General features: G+C 39.1%; 1 long non-coding RNA gene across 1 annotated transcript in view, besides 1 other annotated feature; it reads left to right on the top strand.

Annotated features, from left to right (window-relative positions):
• The window catches only part of ARHGEF26-AS1 (ARHGEF26 antisense RNA 1), a 96810-nt gene that overhangs the window by 39496 nt on the left and 34264 nt on the right, over positions 1-23050 (top strand). The gene's annotated exons all lie outside the window — the stretch shown is intronic.
• Positions 11198-11367: an enhancer, noted in NCBI's record as "experimental_65370 CRE fragment used in MPRA reporter constructs". NCBI's record gives its function as "activates a minimal promoter by MPRAs in K562 erythroleukemia cells, with activity observed for both the introgressed and non-introgressed 3:153788222 variant alleles {active_cell/tissue: K562}" and the evidence as "EXISTENCE:reporter gene assay evidence [ECO:0000049][PMID:34662402]".

The following is a 23050-nucleotide window of genomic DNA, read 5'->3' as shown; positions in this document are numbered from 1 at the left end:
CCCTGACTCCCATCACCTAATGGTCAAAGCTTTGTCTGGCGGGGCATGAATTCTCTGCTCTTCTGAGTTGCACCACATAATTGGTTGGGGTCCACATGACCAGCAACAACAGAGAAGCACTGAGCAGAAGTGAAATGTGTGATGCAGGCAGGAAGCAAGGTGCTGTTGAGTTGTGTCTGCATGGAATTGGTCAGAGTTCATTCAGAGTCTGTAATAATTAATCTTACCTACTTGACCTGTTGACATAAGAATTAAATGTTACTGCACGTAATGTACACAGGACACTGCAGAACAGCTAGTTATCCTTAGCATTCAGTAGATATTAACTATTGCTGCTGTTGTTACTGCTGCTATTGCTATTGCTACTACTACTACTATTACTGCCATTAGTATTATAGGTGTTAGAAAATAGTGATGATACCATAAGGGTATATAGGATGGGTTAGAATAGGGGAGAAATAGAGGTGGGGAGACCAGGTAAAGCCTGGAGCACACACCTGAGTGTATTGAATGAATTAATCAGAAAGCTATTGAAATAAGTTCAGGTAAGCAAATAATTAAAGCAGGTTGGTATATTTTTTAAAATCCCATGGTTCTCTTGCTCTTTTTTTTTTTTTAATTAAAAAACATGAATAGGCTTGGCATGGTGTCTCATGCCTGTAATCCTAGCACTTTGGGAGGCCAAGGAGGGAGGATCACTTGAACCCAGGAGTTTGAGACCAGCCTGGGGAACAAAGTGAGAATCTGTCCCCACAAAAAAATAAATAAATAAGTTAGCTAGGTGGTGGCCCGTGCCTATAATCCCAGCTACTTGGGAGGCTGAGGCAAGAGGATTACTTGAGCCCAGGAGTTCAAGGCAGCAGTGAGCTATAATTGTACTACTGTGCTGCAGCTTGGGCAACAGAGTAAAACCCTGTCTCTTACAGACAAAACAAAGCGAAACAAACCAAACAAAAGCCATGAATATAGAAAAATATTTATATACCAAAAGAAAAGCACTGCTAATATAAATAGCAATGGATTATTGGTTTTGATGTCAAGGGGATAATGAGGAGCACTAGGGACTGAGATAACCTGGGAAGCACATGCCCTGTGCAAAAGAATAACTGTTTCTTAGTGGCGGTTTACTAATGCCACATGAGAAACCAGGCCAAGTACTGCCAGATCTTCAGATTTCTCAAGAATGGCTAAAATCCTGAGATTTGTTGAAATCACTCACATTTTAAATATTGGCTGAAATTTTTCTAAAATATTACGTGAGTCAAAGACGACATATGTACCAGCCTCTTCTATCCTAAGCTTGTTGATTTGCAATCTCTGTGGGTAGTGGGGAGCGCCCAGAAGCCAGATCATAAGGCTGGGATGTCCCAGAGTACAGAATCCTATCTTAATGATTTGTATATTCAGTACTAATAGTACCTCACTGGCACAGGTATCAGTAAAAATCCTTCTCTTACAACCGAGGTGGGAGATAGGCATATGAACATATTGTTCATTTCTAAGAAAATAAAATATTTCATTGTTCGGCAAACAAGCTTTTTATGCTTCCCCATTTTTTCATGTTCATATGCCTATCTCCCACACTATGTTATTATTATTATCTTAATGATTTGTATATTCAGTACTAACATAGTGTGATAAATACACTGACAGATACGTCCAAGGTATTATGAAAGCGCAGCAGTAAATCACCTATTAAGAGAGCCGATGTCCAACCAGGACTTCTTGGAGGAGGTGACACTGCATTGCTAAGTAGTAACTTTAAAACTCCTAAAAAGGTTGACATGTATATTTTTCAATATTTGCTTTAACTGTCATTGCGAACACTTAAAACATATATTGAAAGTTGAAGAAACACGAGGTAATTCTGTATCCTGTTCAGTTTCATGCTATGATAACAGTAAATGCATTAGAGGTAGGAGAGCAGGAGGACTTGTATTCTGGTCACAACCCTGCTGACCAAAACAGGATCTGGTCCAGACAGGATAAAGTAAAGAAACCAACAGAAACCAGTAGATGGTAATGAAAATGATCCCTAGTGGCCCTTATAGCTCATTAGCATAAGACCAGCACCATGACAGTTTACAAATGCCATGGCAACAACCTGGAAGTTACTCCCCTTTCCTAGAAAGTTCTCAATAACCCACCTCTCAAATTGCACTAACCTGCCCCTTAATTTGCACATAATTAAAAGTGGGTATAAGTGGATATAAGCACAGTTGCCAGCAGCCCATACATTGCCAACTCTGGGCACACTGCCTGTGAGTTAGCCCTGCTCCACAAGGAGCAGAACCATTCAATAAAAGATTGCTGTCTACCCACTGCCTCATCCTGGAATCCTTTCCTGGGTATGCCAAGAACTCTCTTGGGCTAAGTCCCAATTTTGGGGCTCACCTGTCCTGTATCACATTAATATTTCCTCTTAAGAGTGAAAATGGGGAAGCATAAAAGGCTTCTTTGCTGAACAATGAAATATTTTATTTTCTTAGAAAATAACCACGTCAGCTTGGCGCAGTGGCTCACACCTGTAATCCCAGCACTTTGGGAGGCCGGGGAGGGCAGATCACTTGAGCCCAGGAGTTCAAGACCAGTCTGGGCAACATGGCACATGCCTGTAATCCCAGCTACTCCAGAGACAGAGGCATAAGTAGACACAGGATTTTGCCATGTTGGCGAGGCTGGTTTCAAACTCCTGGGTCTGGGCCAGGCTAGTCGCGAACTCCTGTAATCCCAGCTACTCCAGAGGCTGAGGCAGGAGGATTACTTGAGCCCAGAAGTTCAGGACTGCAGTGAGCTATAATTGTACCACTGTACTACAGCTTCGGCAACAGAGTAAGGCTCTTCTGTTAAAACCGAAACAAAACAAAGTGAAACAAGCCAAACAAAAACCACGAATATAGAAAAATACTTATATGCCAAAAGAAAACCACTGTTAATATAAGTAGCAATGGATTTTTGGTTTTGATATCAGGGAGATAATGAGAAGCTCTAAGGGACTGAGTGCTGAAACTCCTGGCCTTGAGTGATCCGCCTGCCTTGGCCTCCCAAAGTGCTGGGATTACAGGCGTGAGCCACCATGCACAGCCTAGTACATTATTTTTAAAAGACACAGATTTTATCTTTGGGAGCCAATAGAAAACTTTTATATGCACATTTCAACAGTAAAATAATTTTTAGGAACACCTTTGAAAATCTTTCAAATGTATGGTTGCATTTGAAAATCTTCAAGATTGGGGGGACGTAAAATTCTATTTCTCTTTTTTTTTTCTGAAAAAGGTCATATTTTGTTCTTGATACAGATATATCAGGTTAAGAAGGAACTTAAATAAATGTGTAATCACAAGCACCAAATTAGTTTAATTAGCACTTTATCAATCACTAATGTGAGCAACATGGAGGACCTCAAATGGAAGGATTGCACTGTTTTGAAAGAGCCAGTCACTATAGTACATTATTTTTGAGTCTGGAGGAGTTTTTATTTTGGGCCTTTTTACTTTTAATAAAAGATGTAAGAGAGCAACATTTTAGGAGGAAATACCTCTATGGGGAGACACAATCTTCAGGAATGGGAGACTGACTGCTTAGCGTACCTCAGCCACTCACATAATTCTGCTTCAAAGGCTAGTTCCTGGTCCGTAAAATATATAATTTTGGCTTCGGCCAATTCATAATTTATACTAAGCCAGATGGGACATGGGGTAAAATTTATTTTTGAACCATTTAAAAGGGGGTGAAAATATTTTAAAGCAGCTTAATGTTATACGTGAGTCTGCAGATGAGATGTTTAAGATGATAAAAAAGGAACAAGCTGTTCTCAAACACTTTAGAAGTATGGACTTGAATAAACAGATGAGCTATGTGCAAATGACTTAAACCTATTCTAAACCCTGTTCTATTTGTTATGAATCTGAAAGGTTATTCAGTAGCATTCTAGTTTTACCACCTTAAACATATTTATTTGAAAATACTTTGCTCAAAATGTCACTAGTAAATAAAATTACTTTTCTTAGACCACTGTATAATTCCTATTGTTCTTTCCAGAAAAAAATCTAAATCAGCATTTTTCAAAATAATATCTGTAAATTATTTTGAGTAGCTTTCTTTATCTTTTCATTAGATTTTTACCTCTTTCTAAATGTATAGTTTCGAGAATTAAAAAAAAAAAAATACCTTGGGTTTGGCCCAACAGCACCTGACAAACTGACAGGTGGAATAGAGAGTGTGGAGCTGGGGTTAGAACTGATGCTTGGCCTGTGAACAGACTTAGCCACATGGACTGATGGTATCGATTCGACAAGCAAGTCAGGGTAGACAAAACAGTATGGTAAAAGAAAATGGAAGCACTGGGGCTTCAAGAGGGCATCCTGGGAGATTTGTGGGGCAGAGTCAAGAGGAAATCAAGTGATGTTTGATGGTCAAAAGCCCAGACAGTTGCCTTTAGGAAAGTTAGCCAATAGACCCAGGACCAGATCCTTAGCAGAGGGTTGGAAAGAACAAGATAAGATCCAGTGCTAAATAGCATGAGTAACAAGGCAGATAACTAAGACAAAAAGCTAAAGAAACAGAATGAAAGACAATAAGCATATTACCCCATACCGACGTTTGGGGTATGGTCGATCCCATCTCCCAGGTCGTGAACATAGTATCCATTACTCGGTTTTTCAAACCTTGACCCCCTCCTGCTGTCCTTCCTCTAGTAGTCCCATAGTGAATGTCAGGACTTTTACTAAGATGGCTGCAATGCAGATGCTCTCTTCCTTCTTTGGCACTATTGCAGCCAGTTTTGATACCATGAGGGAAACCATTTTAAGGAAAAGGCTGACAGAAGAAGATGGGCAGAACTGGAAATTTGCAGAGAAATGAAGACAAAACTCTAAGGATATAGTAAACCTTGGCTTGTGTGATGCCTAAGAACAGCATTACCTCTGGACTTTTTAGTTGCCTGGACCAATGCACTTGCTCTTTGTCGCAACCATTTGGGTTGGAAAACAATGGATACATTAGCTGTTGGCCAGGGATGATGAATAAACTCAGTTGTTAGAAGATGATTCACAGTGGGCACCCAAGTCTCAGGATTAAGACCAAAGCCTTGTTGTGATTTGTGAGACTTGAGGTCAGAGATAATCTCCTTCTGAATCCCAAAGTACTGGGCAAGAATTATTTAAATTTCTTTTGCTGAAGATTAGAATTTGTGCTATAATTTTCAGTGAAATTTGAATCTGCAGATGGACAACAAATTGGATGAGAGAAAGATGAGCTAAGAGACAAGCTGGGCCTGAATTCATTTATAACACTCCCAAATTTGATTTATTCTTAGAATTGGGAACAAAGGTTTTGGGTGGGACCCAAACTCTAATTTTATAATGTATGGCAAAGGAAAATATAACTACACATAAATAAATAAATAGTTAAAAATATTTTTCCACTGGAAAAAAGAACATTTCTTTTTATGAACCTGAATGGATAATTCATTCCCTCTGCTCTTTCATCTTTTTTAAAGAATAATTTTAACTTTTATTTTAGATTCAGGGGGTACATGTGCAGGTTTGTTACATGGGTATATTGTATGATACTGAGGTTCGGGGTATGATTGATCCCATCTCCCAGGTAATGAGCACAGTACCCATTACTTGGTTTTTCAATCCTTGATCCCCTCTTTCTGTCCTCCCTCTAGTAGTCACTAGTGTCTATTGTTGCCATCTTTATGTCCAGCAATACCCAGTGTTTAGCTCCCACTTATTTGTGAGAATATCTGGTATTTGGTTTTCTGTTCCTGCATTAATTTGCTTGGGATAATGGCCTCTAGCTGCATCCATGTTGCTGCAAGAGACGTGATTTTATTCTTTTTTATAGCTACACAATATTCCATGGTGCCTATGTGCCAAATTTTCTTTATCCAATCCATCGTTGATAGGTACCTAGATTGATTCCATGCCTTTGCTATTTTTTATTTTATTTTATTTTATTTTATTATTTTTTGAGACAGAGTCTGGCTCCGTCACCCGGGCTAGAGTGCAATGGCACGATTGCAGCTCACCGCAACCTCCGCCTCCCGAGTTCAAGCGATTCTCCTGCCTCAGACTCCCAAGTAGCTGGGATTACAGGCATATGCTACCACACCGGCTAATTTTGTATTTTTAGTAGAGACGGGGTTTCTCCATGTTGGTCAAGCTGGTCTCCAACTCCCGACCTTAGGTGATCTGCCCACCTCGGCCTCCCAAAGTGCTGGGATTACAGGCATAAGCCAACACGCACAGCCACCTTTGCTATTGTTAATAGTGCTGTGATGAATATATGAGTGCATATGTCTTTTTGGTAGACAGTTTATTTTCTTTTGGATATATACCCAGTAATGGGATTGTTGGGTCAAATGGTAGTTCTGTTTTAATGTTTTTGAGAAATCTCCAAACTGCTTTCCATAATGGCTGAAGTAATTTACACTCCCACCAACAGTGTGTAAGTGTTCCCTTTACTCTGTAGCCTTGCGAGCATCTGTTCTCTTTGACTTTTTAATAATAGCCATTCTGACTTGTGTGAGATGGAATCTCATTGTGGTTTTGAATCGCATTTCTCTGATGGTTAGTGATGTGGATATGTTTGTTGATTGCTTGTATGTCTTATTTTAAGAAGTGTCTGTTCATATCTTTTGCCCACTGTGTCAGTCAGGGTTCTCCAGAGGGACAGAGCTAATAGGATATATGTGTGTGGAGGGGGGGTATATATATGTATATATCCTATAGGAGTTTATTAGAGAGAATTGACTCACACAATTACAAGATGAAGTCCCATGATAGGCCATCTGCAAGCCGGGAAAGAGAGAAGCTGGTAGTGGCTCAGTCTGAATCCGAAAGCCTCAAAATCAGGGAAGCCAACAATGCCACTCCTGGCAAGTCATGGTGCAAGTCCCAGAGTCCAAAGGCTGAAGAACCTGCCTTCTGATGTTTAAGGGCAGGAGGAGCAGAAGGAAGCATCCAGCACGGGATAAAGAAGTAAGCCAGAAGTCTCAGCAAGAAAGGCCATCCCACATTCTTCCACCTGCTTTGTTCTAGCTGCACTGGCAGCCAATTAGATGGTACTCAACTTCATTGAGGGTGGATCTTCTGTTCCCAGTCTGCCGACTCAAATGTCAGTCTCCTCTAGCAACACCCTCACAGACACACCCAGAAACAATATTTCACCAGCCATCTGGGTATCTTTCAACCCAATCAAATCGACACCTACTAGTAACCATGACACCACTTTTTAATGATGTTATTTCTTTTTTGCTTGTTCAATTGCTTAAGTTCTTTATAGATTCTGGATATTAGACCTTTATCAGATGCATAGTTTTGAATATTTTCTCCCATTCTGTAGGTTGTTTGTTCACTCTGTTGATAGTTTCTTTTGCTGTGCAGAAGTTCTTTCATTTAATTAGGTCCCATTTGTCAATTTTTGGTTTTGTTCTAATTGCTTTTGAGGACTTAGTCATAAATTCTTTGCCAAGGCCAATGTCCAGAATGGTGTTTCCTAGGTTTTCTTCTAGGATTCTTATAGTTTGAGATCTTACATTTAAATCTTTAATCCATCTTGATTTAATTTTTATATATGGCAAAAGGCAGGAGTCCAGTTTCATTCTTCTGCATATGGCTAGCCAGCTACCCCAGCACTATTTATTGAGTAGGGAGTCCTTTCCCCATGACTTGTTTTTGGTGACTTTGTCAAAGATTAGATGGCTGTAGGTGTGTGGCTTTATTTCTGGGTTCACTATTCTGTTACATTGATTTATGTGTCTGTTTCTGTACCAGTACTATGCTGTTTTAGTTATTGTAGTTTTACAGTATAGTTTGAAGTTGGGTAATGAGATGCCTCCAGCTTTTTTTATTTTTGTTTAGGATTGCTTTGGCTATTCAGGCTCTTTTTTGGTTCCACATGAATTTTAGAATAGTTTCTTTTATCTGATTCTGTGAAAAATGATGTTGGTAGTTTGATGGGAATAGCTTTGAACCTGTATATTTATTTGGGCAGTATGGCCATTTTAATGATATTGATTATTTTAATCCATGGACATGGAATGTTTTTCCATTTGTTTGTGCCATCTATGATCCCTCTGAGCAGTACTGTGGTTCTTTTTGTAGAGATTTTTCACCTCCTTAGTTAGCTGTATTCTTGGGTATTTTATTTTTTTTCATGTGGCTATTGTAAATGGGATTGTGTTCTTGATTTGGCTTTCAGCCTGAATATTATTGGTTTATAGAAATGTTACTGATTTTTGTACATTGATTTTGTATCCTGAAACTATACTGAAGTAGTTTATTCCAGGATCCTTTTGGCAGAATCTTTTAGGTTCTCTAGTTATAGAATCATATCATCCGTGAAGAGAGGTAGTTTGAATTTTTATTTTCCTATTTGGTTGCCCTGTATTTCTTTCTCTTGCCTGATTGCTCTGGCTAGCACTTCTGGAACTATTTCGAAAAGGAGTGGTGAGACTGGGCACTCTTGTCTTAGTCTAGTTCTCAAAGGGAATGGTTCCAGCTCTTGCCCATTTAGTATGATATTGGCTGTGGGCTTGTCATAGATGACTGTTATTATTTTGAGGTATTTTCCATCAATGCCCAGTTTGTTGAGGGTTTTTATCATGAGGAGGTCTTGGGTTTTATTAAAAGCTTTTTTCATGTCTATTGAAATGATCATGTGGTTTTTGTCTTCAATTCTGTTTATGTGGTGAATTAAATTTATTGATTTGTGTATGTTGAACTAACCTTGCATCCCAGGAATGATGCCTACTTGATCATGGTGAATTAACTTTTTGATGTGCTGCTAGATTGGGTTTGCTGGTATTTTGTTGAGGATTTCTGTGTCTATGTTAATCAGGGATTGGCCTCTCATTTTCTTTCTTTGTTGTATCTTTGCCAGGTTTTAGTATCTGGGTGATGCTGACTTCATAGAATGAGTTATGAAGGAGTTCTTCCTCCTCAATTTTTTGAAAAAGTTTCAGTAGAATTGGTACCAGCTCTTCTTTGTACATCTTGTAGAATTCAGCTGTGTATCCATCTGGTCTGAGGCTTTTTTTTGGTTGGCAGAATTTTTATTATTGATTGAATTTCAGAACTCAATATTGTTCTGATTAAGTTTTCAATTTCCTCCTGGTTAAATCTTGGGAGGTTGTTCATTTCCAGAAATTTTTTCATTTTTCTCTAGATTTTCTAGTTTCTGTGCATAGAGGTGTTCATAACAGACTCTGAAGAGAATCATTGTAATGTCATCTATGTCGTTTCTGATTATGCTTATTTGGATCTTCTCTCTTTTTCTTTGTTAATCTAGCTAGCAGTCTATCAACCTTGTTTATTTTTTCAAATAACCAACTTTTGATTTCATTGATTCTTTGTATGGATAGTTTGTTGATTCTTTGTATGGGTCTCAACTTCATTAAATTCTACTCTAATTTTAGTTAATTATTTTCTTCTACTAGCTTTGGGGTTAGTTTGTCCGTGTTTTTCTAGTTTCTCTAGGTGTGATTAGATCATTAATTTGAGACCTTCCTAACTTTCTGAGGTAGGTATTTAGCCCTATAAACTTTCCTCTTAGCACTGCTTTTGGTGCATCCTAGAAATTTTGGTATGCTGTGTCTCTGTTTTCATTTATTTCAAATAATTTTTTGATTTCTGCCTTAATTTTCTTGTTTGCCCAAAAGTCATTCAGGAGCAAGTTGTTTAATTTCCAGGTAATTGAGTGGTTTTGAGAAATCTCCTTTGCATTGATTTCTATTTTTATTATGTGATCTGAGAGTTAAATTTCTTTTCTAGCCAATACCTTTATTAACTGAATTAAACCTATATAATCAGCCATTCTCCTTATCTTAATTGGCGCCAAGAATGCCAATGAGAATAATATGATAGTAATTATAATTAGAGGTTAAATTTCTTTTCTATCATCTCCAAAGAGACTATACCTATATTGTTTAGTGTTATATTCCCAGTGTATAATGCAGTTATTATTTGGAAAATTGAGTGGATAAGTTGGTTGTCTTTCTGTGGGCTCCCCACAAAGCTGGCCTTGACATAAGGACTTGGGTGTTGGTGGTTTATTTAAGATGTAAATTCAGGCAGCCAAGTGAGGTAATATGGAAGAGAGACAGGAAAAGAAAAAGAACCAATAAAAAGTATAAATAAACCAGCTATCTTTGTAGGCAATTGGAATTCAATCGCACTAGAGACATTCTAAGAAAGCATATTGAACATACCTCAGAATTGTCCCACTGGACAATGAGAAGGTTAGGATTTTACCTACCAATTCACACTCTTCTCTGAATGAGGATTGACTCTATCCCTGGTAGTTAATTCACTCATGCTTTGTCATGAGTCTCTGTGATGGCGCAAGCTTTCACAGTGTAGAGAAAACCCTCAGGCAGATAAATGAGTAGAAGCAGGAACTCAAGAGGGGAAGCTACCAGTGTGCCAGAAACCATCTACCACAGTGACAGGTGAACTCAGAGCTGGATCAAGAGGATATGGAGTGGACACCAAAAGCATCTGCCACACTGCTTATCAACATCTGTTGTTTTTATCTGGCCATTATCTCTCACCCACATCTTTGGGTCATGGCATCTCCCTTTCATTTGGTGAACTGTTAGTCCTCTACTCCATGCATTTCATGTGTGTCTGCCAATCAAGAACTGCTTGATTCTGTCATACTGCCATAGAATTTTATATGTGGACACTGGAAGAGAGAATATGTCTCTTTTCTCTTAGTGAACTGACTAGAATAATACAAACCTGGAGCTGTCTACAGCCATCCTTTTCCTTCCAATGCTGCAAGGAGAAAGCCATCTATAGTAGGAGAAAATAAAGTCAATATATACAAAGATAAGCAAAATCAAGGAATGGAGAGAACCACATAGACAAGGTTGGGTTCTTAAATGCAATCATTCTCTAAGGCCGATCTAATCCTGTCAGGTAGGTACCGTTGACCTATTGAGTCTCATGAGGAAATTAATTTTTACTCTACCCTCCCCCCACCTAATTTTTTTCTTTGCATATGCCAAACTGAATTCTGTCACAACCAAAAAAGCATTAATTAATACACTTCGTTAAATATATATATTTATTCCAGAATGTGACACGTTGTGACATGCAGTGATATGGTTTAGATCTGTGTCCCACCAAATCTCATATTGAATTCTAATCCCCAGTGTTGGAGGTGGAGCTTGGTGGAAGGTGATTGGATCATGTGAGCGGAGTTCTCATGAATGGCTTAGGAGTGAGTTATCGTGAGATCTGGTTGTTTAAAAGTATGTAGCACCTCTTTCTTCTCTCCTTGGTCCTGCTCCTGCCTTGTAAGACACCTGCTCCTGCTTGCTTTGTCTTCCACCACAAGTAAAAGCTCCCTAAGGCCTCCCCAGAAGCAAATGCTGCCATGCTTACTGTATAGCCTGAGGAACCAGGAACCAATGAAAACCTCTTTTCTTTATAAATCTCCATTCTCATGTATTTCTTTATAGCAGTGTAAGAATGGACTAATACATGCAGCAACCACTATTTTTTAGGAGGTTGAGAATCCTGAAATGAACCACACATACCTCATGTACATGAATGGAAACTTAACAGCTGGGAAGAAAATAATTATCTCTGCACTAGGAATAGAAGAAAAATGATGCAAATCTTGTGTGGTCTATAGAAGAACAAAATATCTTTCAAAGGCCCTGAGTCTAGTGCATAGAAAGGTGGGTTTTATACCCAAGTTTTATTTTGGACATCAAAGCACACATGGATTTTGGCAGAAAGGGTCCATCAGGGAAAGCTTTGTATCAGCAATGTGACCTTGGCTTTTGTGTGTTCCTTTAAAGATTGTCTGTAACGCTGTTTTACTGTGTATTATTTTAGTAAGTAGTACTTTGTAATGACATCTTAAAGACTTCAGCTCTTTTCCTCTTCTTTTTTTGCATCAGTTACTAGAAACAAGTTTAAGAAATAAACAGCTTGATAACATCGTTATCTACCTTAAAAGGTATTTTTTTCTTTCTTTTCTTTTGTTAAACAGAAAATTCTTATACTTCTCCCAATCTGCTCCTATAAAACTGTTTATTTACAGCTTTTGTGTTCGACACTTTTGTGACACTTATTCAAATGGAAAAAAAAAACAGCTTCAACTAATCTGTATTTACATACATCATCCAGGATGTGTTTTCTTTTTTTCTTTTAATTATATTTAAGTTTTAGGGTACATGTGCACAACGTGCAGGTTTGTTACATATGTATACATGTGCCATGTTGGTGTGCTGCACCCATTAACTTGTCATTTAACATTAGCTATATCTCCTAATGCTATCCCTCCCCGCTTCCCCCACCCCACAATAGGCCCTGGTGCGTGATGTTCCCCTTCGTGTGTCCATGTGTTCTCATTGTTCAGTTCCCACCTATGAGTGGAACATGCGGTGTTTGGTTTTTTGTCCTTGCGATAGTTTGCTGAGAATGATGGTTTCCAGCTTCATCCATGTCCCTACAAAGGACATGAACTTATCCTTTTTTATGGCTGCATCGTATTCCACGGTGTATATGTGCCACATTTTCTTAATCCAGTCTATCATTGTTGGACATTTGGGTTGGTTCCAGGTCTTTGCTATTGTGAATAGTGCCACAATAAACATACGTGCGCATGTGTCTTTATAGCGGCATGTTTTATAATCCTTTGGGTATATACCCAGTAATGGGATGGCTGGGTCAAATGGTATTTCTAGTTCTAGATCCCTGAGGAATCGCCACACTGGCTTCCACAATGGTTGAACTAGTTTACAGTCCCACCAACAGTGTAAAAGTGTTCCTATTTCTCCGCATCCTCTCCAGCACCTGTTGTTTCCTGACTTTTTAATGATCGCCATTCTAACTGGTGTGAGATGGTATCTCATTGTGATTTTGATTTGCATTTCTCTGATGGCCAGTGATGATGAGCATTTTTTCATGTGTCTTTTGGCTGCATAAATGTCTTCTTTTGAGAAGTGTCTGTTCATATCCTTCGCCCACTTGTTGATGGGGTTGTTTGTTTTCAGGATGTGTTTTCATGTAAAAATAGCAAATCCGTTTTTTTGAGAAACATTTAAAAATTGACTTATGCAAGCTTCTGATCAGTGTTTAATAGAATTAAACACATTTCGAGTAGTTTATGTTGAGCAAGGATTGTGGTAGACCCAAAATATTAGGTGAGTGCAAAAGTAATTACGGTTTTTGCGTTGTTAGAATTTGTCATTTGATAAAGGAATTCATTCTTAAATATATGGGAATTATGGCTATTTTTTGCTAATAACTTATTACTTGCTGTTTATTTTATGTTTATTTTAGACTATGGAAATGATGTTAGACAAAAAGCAAATTCAGTTTGAGAAATAAAGGGGCAGAGTACAAAAGAGAGAAATCGTAAAGCTGGGCATCCGGGGGAGACATCACATGTCAGTAGGTTCCGTGATGCCCCACAAGCCACAAAACCAGCTAGTTTTTATTAGTGATTTTCGAAAGGGAAGGAGTGCACAAATAGGGTGTGGGTCACAGAGATCATGTGCTTCACAAGGTAATAGAATATCACAAGGCAAATGGAGGCAGGGCGAGATCACAGGACCACAGGATGAGGGTGAAATTAAAATTGCTAATGAAGTTTCTACACGCGTTGTCAGTGATAACATCTTATCAGGAGACAGGGTTTGAGAGCAGACATCCGGTCTGACAAAAATTTATTAGGTGGGAATTTCCTCGTCCTAATAAGTCTGGGAGTGCTATGGGAGACTGGGGCTTATTTCATCCCTACAGCTGGACCATAAAAGACAGCCGCACCGAAGGGGGGCATTTTAGAGGCCCACCCTCAGGGACGCATTCTCTTTCTCAGGGATGTTCCTTGCTGAGAAAAAGAATTCAGCGATATTTCTCCCATTTACTTTTGAAAAGAAGAGAAATATGGCTCTGTTCTGCCTGGCTCACTGGTGGTCAGAGTTTAAGGTTATCTCTCTTGTTCCCTGAACATTGCTGTTATCCTGTTCTTTTTTCAAGGTGCCCAGATTTCATATTGTTCAAACACACATGTTCTACAAACAATTTGTGCAGTTAACACAATCATCACAGGGTGCTGAGGTGACATACATCCTCCTCAGTTTACGAAAATGACAGGATTAAGAGATTAAAGTAAAGACAGGCATAAGAAATCCCAAGGGTATTGATTGGGGAAGTGATAAGTGTCCATGAAATCTTCACAATTTATGTTCAGAGATTGCAGTAAAGACAGGCGTAAGAAATTATAAAAGTATTAATTTGGGGATCTAATAAATGTCCATGAAATCTTCACAATCCACGTTCTTCTGCCATGGCTTCAGCCGGTCCCTTCATTTGGGGTCCCTGACTTCCCGCAACAACAAAAAGCAAATTCAAGCGATTTTCTTATTCAAGTTCAAAATGGGTCATAAAGCAGTGGAGACAACTTGCAACATCAACATCACATTTGGCCCAGGAATTGCTAACAAATACACAGTGCAGTGGTGGTTCAAGAAGTTTAGTAAAAGAGACGAGAGCCTTGAAGATGAAGAGCATAGTGGCTGGCCGTAGGAAGTTGACAACGACCAATTGAGAGCAATAATCGAAGCGGATCCTCTTACAACTACAGGAGAAGTGCCTGAAGAATTCAGTGTTGAGCATTCTACCATCATTTGGCATTTGAAGGAAATTAGGTGAAAAACCTCAATAAATGGATGCCCCATGAGCTGACCAAAAATTTTTAAAAATCGTCATTTTGAAGTGTCATCTTCTCTTATTCTACACAGCAGCAATGAACCATTTCTCAATCGGATTATGACGTGCGACGAAAGTAGATTTTATACGACAACCAGCAATGATCAGTTCAGTGGTTGGACCAAGAAGAAGCTTCAAAGCACTTCCCAACACCAAACTTTTACCAAAGAAGGGTCATGGTCACTGTTTGGTGGTCTGCTGCCGGTCTGATTCACTACAGCTTTCTGAATCCTGGTGGAACCATTACATCTGAGAAGTATGCTCAGCAAATTGATGAGATGCACCAAAAACTGCAAAGCCTGCAGCTAGCATTGGTCAACAGAAAGGGCCCAATTTTTCTCCAGGACAACGCCTGACCATACATTGGCACAATGAATGCTTCAAAAGTTGAATAAATTGGGCTACGAAATTTTGCCTCATGTGCCATATTCACCTGACCTTTCTCCAACCACTTCTTCAAGCATCTTGACAACATTTTTCAGGGAGAACGCTTCCACAACCAGCAGGATGCAGAAAATGCTTTCCAAGAGTTTGTTGAATCCCTAAGCATGGATTTTTATGCTACAGGAATAAACAAACTTATTTCTCATTGGCAAAAATGTTTTAATTGTAATGGTTTGTATTTTCATTAATAAAGATGTGTTTGAGCCTAGTTATAATAATTTAAAATTCAGGGTCTGAAACCGCGACTACTTTTGCACCAACTATCAGGATTCATGTCCGGGTCTCACATAAAGCCTGGCAGATGATCCTTCTTACTAGAGTAGTTCTGCCAAGAAATTACTGTGAAACTCAACTGTCTCTAGGCTGTTCTGAGAAGAGAGACCTGGACCCATGGGTTGATCCCAGGGAAACACTAGCCATGAATGAGTTGGGCCCGGGTAGGGGCGTAGGAGAAAGTTCGCCCAGAACCACTGAGGCCAGTCAGTTGGAGGGAAAGCACAAGTAACAGAAGGAAAGGAATGGTCATAGTAGCACTGAGTATCAGATCTAGAGGAGCTTAGGGCAGAAAACAGAAAATAAGGCATCTGAGAGCAGGGAAGATTGAAAAACGTTGGATCAAAGGAGTGTCAGCTGTGTCAGCAGTGAGAGGGTTGAAGGCCCACTTTTCTGGGGTGCTAGCAGGAGTGTCTGGTAGTTCCCAAGAGCTACTCAGAACCAGACATTATTCACAGTCAAAATAAATGCAAATCAAAGCAGTGGAGGTAATCTGCCCATTTACTTACCATATGCCAAATAATTTGTTAGATTAAATTGTTTGTCCCAATGTGGTTGTACCTATTTACATTCCTATTTGTCAAAGATGGAAATTGCAGTTGCTCCTCATCTTCACCTGTAGTTTCTATCATTGGTCTTTTGTATTTTAAGATAATCATTATTTAAAAACATATCCTGTTTACCTCATGGGGAGCAGGGTTGAGAACCAATTTTCTATGCTTTGAGAGAATCATAGTAGACAGATTAGACAGATGAGAATAAAAACAGACATTTAGAAGAGGCATGTGAGAAAATTAGCCTCTTTGTGTTAATAATCCTCATCTGTGAAATTAAGATAATAACCTCATAAGGTTATTGTGAAGATTTGAATGTGTGAAAACATGCAAAGCACATTGTGTTTGCAATGTCAACTATTATTACATCTTCACCATAGAGTCAATCAAATAGTGAACAAACATTCCTCGGTACAATCTTCCATAGATTGTGCTAGGCTTCCCTAAACACTCTGACACTCTACAGTATATCCAGTCACTCATTCATTTATCAGGTGTGAAGATCATAAGAGGCACTTTTTCAGTCATTATGTGACAATGCCAGACCAAAAAAAAATTATGAAAAAAAAGTTTGACTAGGAGATAGGAATAAATGAAGATGGGTCATCTTCTTTATAATTTCCATCATATAAATATCTTCACAAATATTATGAGTAGGTAATGATACTACTTTTTTCTCAAATTTGAACTGTTGGCTTAAGAGAAGCCTAAGAAATATAATGGAGAAAGTAAAATTTAAAAATCACTTATCATTGTACACATACACATAAAATAATTTCTACCAATTCATACAATCTCAGAAATGTTATAATTTCAGAAGACGAGATGGCAGATGCTATCAGTGGGGTCAGTGTAAACTTAATGTTAGCTTCATGAAAACACATTGTTTCATACCAACACAAAAAATATAACTCCAAATGTATTTATAATTAAAAGCAACAACTGAGCATTCACACCAAGTGTGCCATCTTTTACTTTTAAAATAGTACTTATAAGCAAGAATAGCATATTTTGTTTGTGGCTATTTAGGACTCAGCTCAAGTACATAAGTTTGAGGAAAGGTTGTGAATAAGCCTACAGTTTTTATTTATCAACCACCGTATAACCAAGACAAAGCATCTTTGGATGTACAAGAGTCAAATGTGTATTGCAAACTTTTTACACTCGTCATTTAAATATTATCTTATACAAATTTGAACAATATGTAATATTATAGCAAAGAAAAACACATCCGGAAACACTAGCACTATTATGTTTTAGTGTTCATGTTTGAATGTTTAATAAACTTTAAAAGTTTAGATTTCTCATTAGAATTCTCATTGGCTAACTGGGTTGCTCAGTTAGATTCAGATACAATCAGATTCAGAGTTCTCAGTCACCTTAAGCCCATCAGCATATTAGCCCAGATAGGTACAGATGAATTCAGATCAATAAGATTATGTTCTGGGATTCCAGTTCTGGTAAGCAGATTTTCTCTTTTCTACTGAAAACATGTAGCCTGGACACCTTCTTGAGACTTCAAGGAGAATGCCTGTTGGGAATGGAGCCATTGCTAAGGAAATATTGCTGAGGAACAAGAGGAAGCAACTATGTTCTAGTCACATTGTATGAACCATTGGATCAATCTTCTGAAACTGTACCTCCTTTTGGACTTTTCAGTTACATGAATCAATAAGTTCTCTGTATGGTTCAATCCAGTTTGAGTTGGTGTTTTAGGTACTTGCAACCAGTTATGCTGACCAATATACCGAGCTACTGGCAGTTCCATTTTTACGGAACTCTAAACTCCATGAGGGAGATGGTAAGGATCTGTTCTTGTATGTAGTCTCAGTTCTTTCATGAAACCACTACTTCTATAATGTGAAATGTCATATGGATAGACCACTGGGCTTGGTGACAGAGGAAGTAGAGTTCGGTCTTGGTTCTGACATGTTTTTGACCGTTAATTCAGTAATTCATTTAATCTCAGTTTATCTATAAAGTGAAGAAGTAGGCCTTTAGTTTGTTTACATATCTGCGTTATCTATCTAGCTATCAAAGAGCTCTTTTTCAGAAGAAATCTTATGTAGAACTCAACAAATAAACCATGTACAATTGTGAGTTATAAGAAAGGCAATTTTTTTTCTCATTCCTGTGTCCTTAGCATAACCATAAACCTGGTGAAATGTATATACTCAGCAAGTAGTTGCTGAATGAAGGAATAAAAGCAAAGTTCCTCTGTTGGAGAGATGACATGGAAGCTGGGTCCCCACTGGCTTGGCCTTCCCCTCACCACCTTACCCACCCTTGAGGTCCCACTAAGAAACTCGAGGGCTTGGCAGATTCCAAGCTGAAAGCCAATGACCAAGTCATCTCTAAGGCCCTTCCAGTTCTAACATTGTGTAGTCCAATTTAGTGATTCCCAGCTATGACAGTGGAAGAGTGCAGGTTGATTATGTCATCAGAATTATGAGACTTTTCAAATAATTGTTCCCACTCTACTGAGACTCTCTTTCTGTCACCTCAATCAATGAACTATTTCTATTAATTAACCATGTACTAGTTTCATTAATGACAATTTGATGAATCATTTTAAAAAGAGCCTCCCATGCCCAGGCACTGCGCACGGGCTAGTGGTCGACCGCTAAACAAACAAGACAGAGTGACAGACATGATCCTGATACAGCTCCAATGAGTGGAGGAACACCAGGTTCTTCCTCTCGAGTCGAATTAGAAAAACCAACACGGACACACGTGGAGTAGTTTTAAGGAGCAGGGAGTTTAATAGGCAAGAAAGAAGGGGGAAGAAAGAAAGAAGCAGCTCCCCTGCGCAGAGACAGAGGGAGGGAGGCTCCAAAGTCAAGAGACAGACAGAACCCTGCTTTCAGGTAATATCAACCAGCTGTATTCCATGGCTGGAGGAGGTGGTGTCTGATTTGCATAGGGCTCAGGGGATTGGTTTGACCAGGCATGTCATTCACGTAGCCCACAAAAAACTGGCCCTCCCAGCCTAGCCTTTTAATATGCAAATTCAAGGCGCCATGATGTTCCACACACGCAGGGATATGTGGGGGCGACCATGCTTCCAGGCACATGTGGGGCAAGGGCAAGAAGGGCACGGGAATTGCAATGTTGGGTGGACCCAGTTTCTAATGGCCTGCATTTGCATATCAAAGTTTGCCGGCCTGGTTCTAAGAGCCAGGGCTTTACAAGAAACTTTTCTGGGGATGCTTTAAAAATTAAAACTTCCCAAGGACCCCTTTTCCTCTCTATCTGCCTAAAATAATTTCTTAGTAACTCCTACAACAATCCCATTCTCTTGGAGCTTCCTTGGTTGAATATTATGTCTGGGAGCTGTCAAAATCTTGATGCTTTAGGTCCCACCCCCAGATAATCTTATTTCAAAATTAAAAAGTATGAAATTATGACAGGTACTGTTGTTTGTTGAATGATAGCTAACTGAAGAAATTAGTACTTGTAAAAAGGCTTACGTGGAACATGCTGAGTTCTCTACGTCTGAGGCAGTCAAGAGAAATTGGGCAACTACTCTATAGCTATATCTGTCTCTGTGTATATATATATATACACAGAGAGAGAGGAGTCAGTCATCAGGAGGTGGTTTTATAAGTCTGAGCTTATCAGAATGTGTGAAGTTAACACACCGTCACTCTTCATAATGCAATATTCTATGGGCTTTCAGGGGATAGCTTCATGAAAATGAGGAGATATCTGGGGGCAGAGTTTTATTCCTTTTCCCACAATGTGTGTGTGAGTGTGTGTGTGTGTGTGTGTGTGTGTGTGTGTCTAGGAAAGACTGTGTTGGGATGAACAGGTCTGAAGGGAGTAAGGACCTTTTAGCTTCTTGGCAGAAATGGTATCTAGTGGGAGGTAACTACACATTAGGTATATGGAAGAGGAAGTATTTGATGGTGAAGCTATTTTCAGATGAAAGTGTGATAAGTAAAGCTTTTAAAACCAGCATATTTCAGCCTGATTTAATCCTTACCTGTGGTAAAACAAATAAAAACAAAAACTATACCTATGTGACTGTGAAATTTAAAAGAAAACAAAACCAATCTCTTTAGTTACCTTGAAGGATGGGAATCTATGTATTAGTTTAGGCGATTAGAGTTAGTACCAGTTCTGGTATTTAAACTTAATAGAAAATAAAAAATAAATAGAGTTTAAAACACTCAGAAAACCTACTTGTTGTTTTCAAAGTGGATACTTTGATCATGGTTGCAGTGGAATTTTAGACTAGAGCAGGAATTAGATGGTATTTGTGCTTCTTGCCTCTGTGCATTTATTTATTTCTTTTAAGGTTCAGCTCAACTGACATTTTTTTGTGAGAAATCTCTAATCCTTGTCAGCACAAAGGAATTTGACAATCTTAAGACATGTAAAATAGTCACAGTTACATTATGTATTATTTTTAACGCTAAAATTTTTCTTAATCAGTTGCAAGCTCATAGAGGCACGACTTTGGTTCACTTCTCCCCCATCAGGCCAAACATAATGCCTCAGTATCACAGGTCATTTACTGAATGAGATAGCTTTGTTTTCTTCCCCTGATTCTCTAATGAGCGATATTATGGTGCAATGGTTTTTTAATTCTGGCTCCCATTGTAAGAAGCAACTGCAACAACTTTTTCTACAAACCTCACCATTAGATATAGCAGTTTTGATGTGCAACTTCTGAAACCAAACCAGGAAAAGACATTATGTATTGATGTTAGAAACCCACAAATGCTTGTTTTAAATACTTTCCACTGTTTATTTTTTTCTAATTCATCAAATGAAATCTTTCCATGTTTTAGCTCTAGGAGAGATTAAGCACATTCAATCTAATTATGCAACCTCCTGGCAAAAGCAGTCTCAATGTGAAACACTGTGCTGGTTGTATTTCACAGTTGCTAATGGAAACAGAGACAAGTTTGGAAAACTGCAAAGTCAAGTCTGAGCCTTGGCATTATCATGCCTCTGAGGAAAGGCATTTCCTGGGTCTGTTCTTTCTTTCCTTCACTCTCTGTATGCATGCTGTATGCGTCCCGTCAGGCTCTACAAATAACTGAAAATGGTCACATGAAGGTAGGAGTACCATAGACATAAAAAATGAATAAAAACTTGAAAAGTCTCACAAACAACAAACAAAATACAACTTGCCAGGGAGTCTGAGACTTGATAATTTTGTGTAGATAGATAAAATTAATTTATCTGATGTTAAAGAATACCAGTTGTCACGGCGTTTAAAAAATTCCTAGTTCCAAACATCCTTGGCAGCTCCTCAGGCTAACAATGCAACCTTACAAATTATAGTTGTTAGCTGCAGGTTTTGTTTTTCACCCATAGTTACATGGTATATTCAGATACAGAGAAGTCATTATATTATTTCCAAAACAAGTTTTTAAAACTTTTATTCACTTTAGGCTCAAAGATGAAACAGTGTGTTATCTTCCTAAAAATAATTTTGCTGAATTATAGACCAGATTTACATGAGAGCTGGAAAACATTTTGGAAGTGAAAAAAAGAATGCTGGCATCCGCGTGAGGAACATTGAGATGCACAAATGGTTTCCCTGCGACAAAAGCACTCACCCATGTAAAGACAGCCAGTTTGATCAGACAGCCAGTTTGACTAGTTTCCTTTCCGTCTTCTCTCTAGGCTCTCGTGTGTATTATCTGATTGGAAAGTCTTTACAGCTCACTGACAGGTATGGCAAACCCCTGCAGGACTGCTCTAACAGGAACTGAACTCTGTGTTAACCTTTCTGTCAACTCTGAGCGCCCAAGTGTTAACCTAAGCATCTTGGACTGTTTTCCTGAGCTCCTCACCTTACAGTGGGCCCTGCACTGATGTGTGCTGTAGGCCCTGGGCTCTTCCTCTTTCCTTCTGGCCTGGGGTGCTGAGGTCCCAGCATGCCTGAGGCAGGGCCCACCCAAGGGACTGCTTGAATAGAGTTTCTTATTTACACAAATCTTGAAATAATTAAAAATTCAGTTTTTACTTTGTATTTCATGTCTCAGTCTCTTGTATTATTAGCCAACACCAAAGACCTCCCAGCTGGAATGACAGTGCTTGCCAAGTGCAGGATTAACGTTGACTATTTCCATTCATTCATTTATTCACTCATCCAGTCATCTATTCCCACCTCCATTTAGCAGATATATCTGTCAATCACATACCATATGCTAGGCACAGTGCTGTGAATACTGTAAGCCAAAGTAGACATGGTCCTGTTCACATGGATCTTACAGTCTACTGAGGACAGGGAACACTAATCAAATAATCACCCCCCAACAAATTTAAAATTAGAAATGTGAGCTGGGTGCAGTGTCTCATACCTGTAATCCCAGCACTTTGAGAGGCCAAGGCAGGCAGTTCACTTGAGCGCAGGAATTTGAGACCAGCCTGGGCAATGTGGTGAAACCCTGTCTCCACAAAACATACAAAAAATTCGCCAGACATGGTGGTGTGCTCCTGTAGTCCTAGCTATTTGGGAGGCTGAGGTGGGAAGATTGATTGATCCCAGGAGTTCAAGGCTGCAATAAGTAGTGATCACACCACTGCACTCCAGCCTGGGCGACAGAGCGAGACCCAGGCTCCAAAACAACAACAACAGCAACAACACAAAAACTAAAACCGACAAATGAGGTAATAAGTTCTATGAAGGAAAGGCGCACAGTGCTATGAGGGAGCCTATTAGCTTGAAAGGAGGGGGCAAGAAGGCTTTCTCCTAGAAAAATTACAACTTGTCTGAGCTAAGATCTGGAGTGTGAGTTGCAATTGTGTTGCCAAAGGATTAAGGTGGTGGCCACAGCAGAGCATTTCATTCAAAGGGGTCCATGCACAATGTCCTCTGGCAGGCAGAGGCTCAGCCTTTCTCAGGAACTAATGGCAGTATGACAAGAGCACAGAGAGTGAGAAGGAATAAGGAGGGAGAGAATCTGGAGGAAGCCTTGTAGATCATGATAAAGTTCTCGTCAGAGACTAAAAAATGACTGAAGGCTTTAGAGCAAGGCAGTGAAACGACCAGACTTATGAGTATTTTTAAAGATTACT

This window comes from Homo sapiens, chromosome 3 (assembly GCF_000001405.40).
Source record: "Homo sapiens chromosome 3, GRCh38.p14 Primary Assembly".
Lineage (NCBI taxonomy): Eukaryota > Metazoa > Chordata > Mammalia > Primates > Hominidae > Homo > Homo sapiens.
The sequence above is the reverse complement of the archived record's forward strand: the minus strand, read 5'-3'. Positions and strand labels throughout refer to the sequence as shown.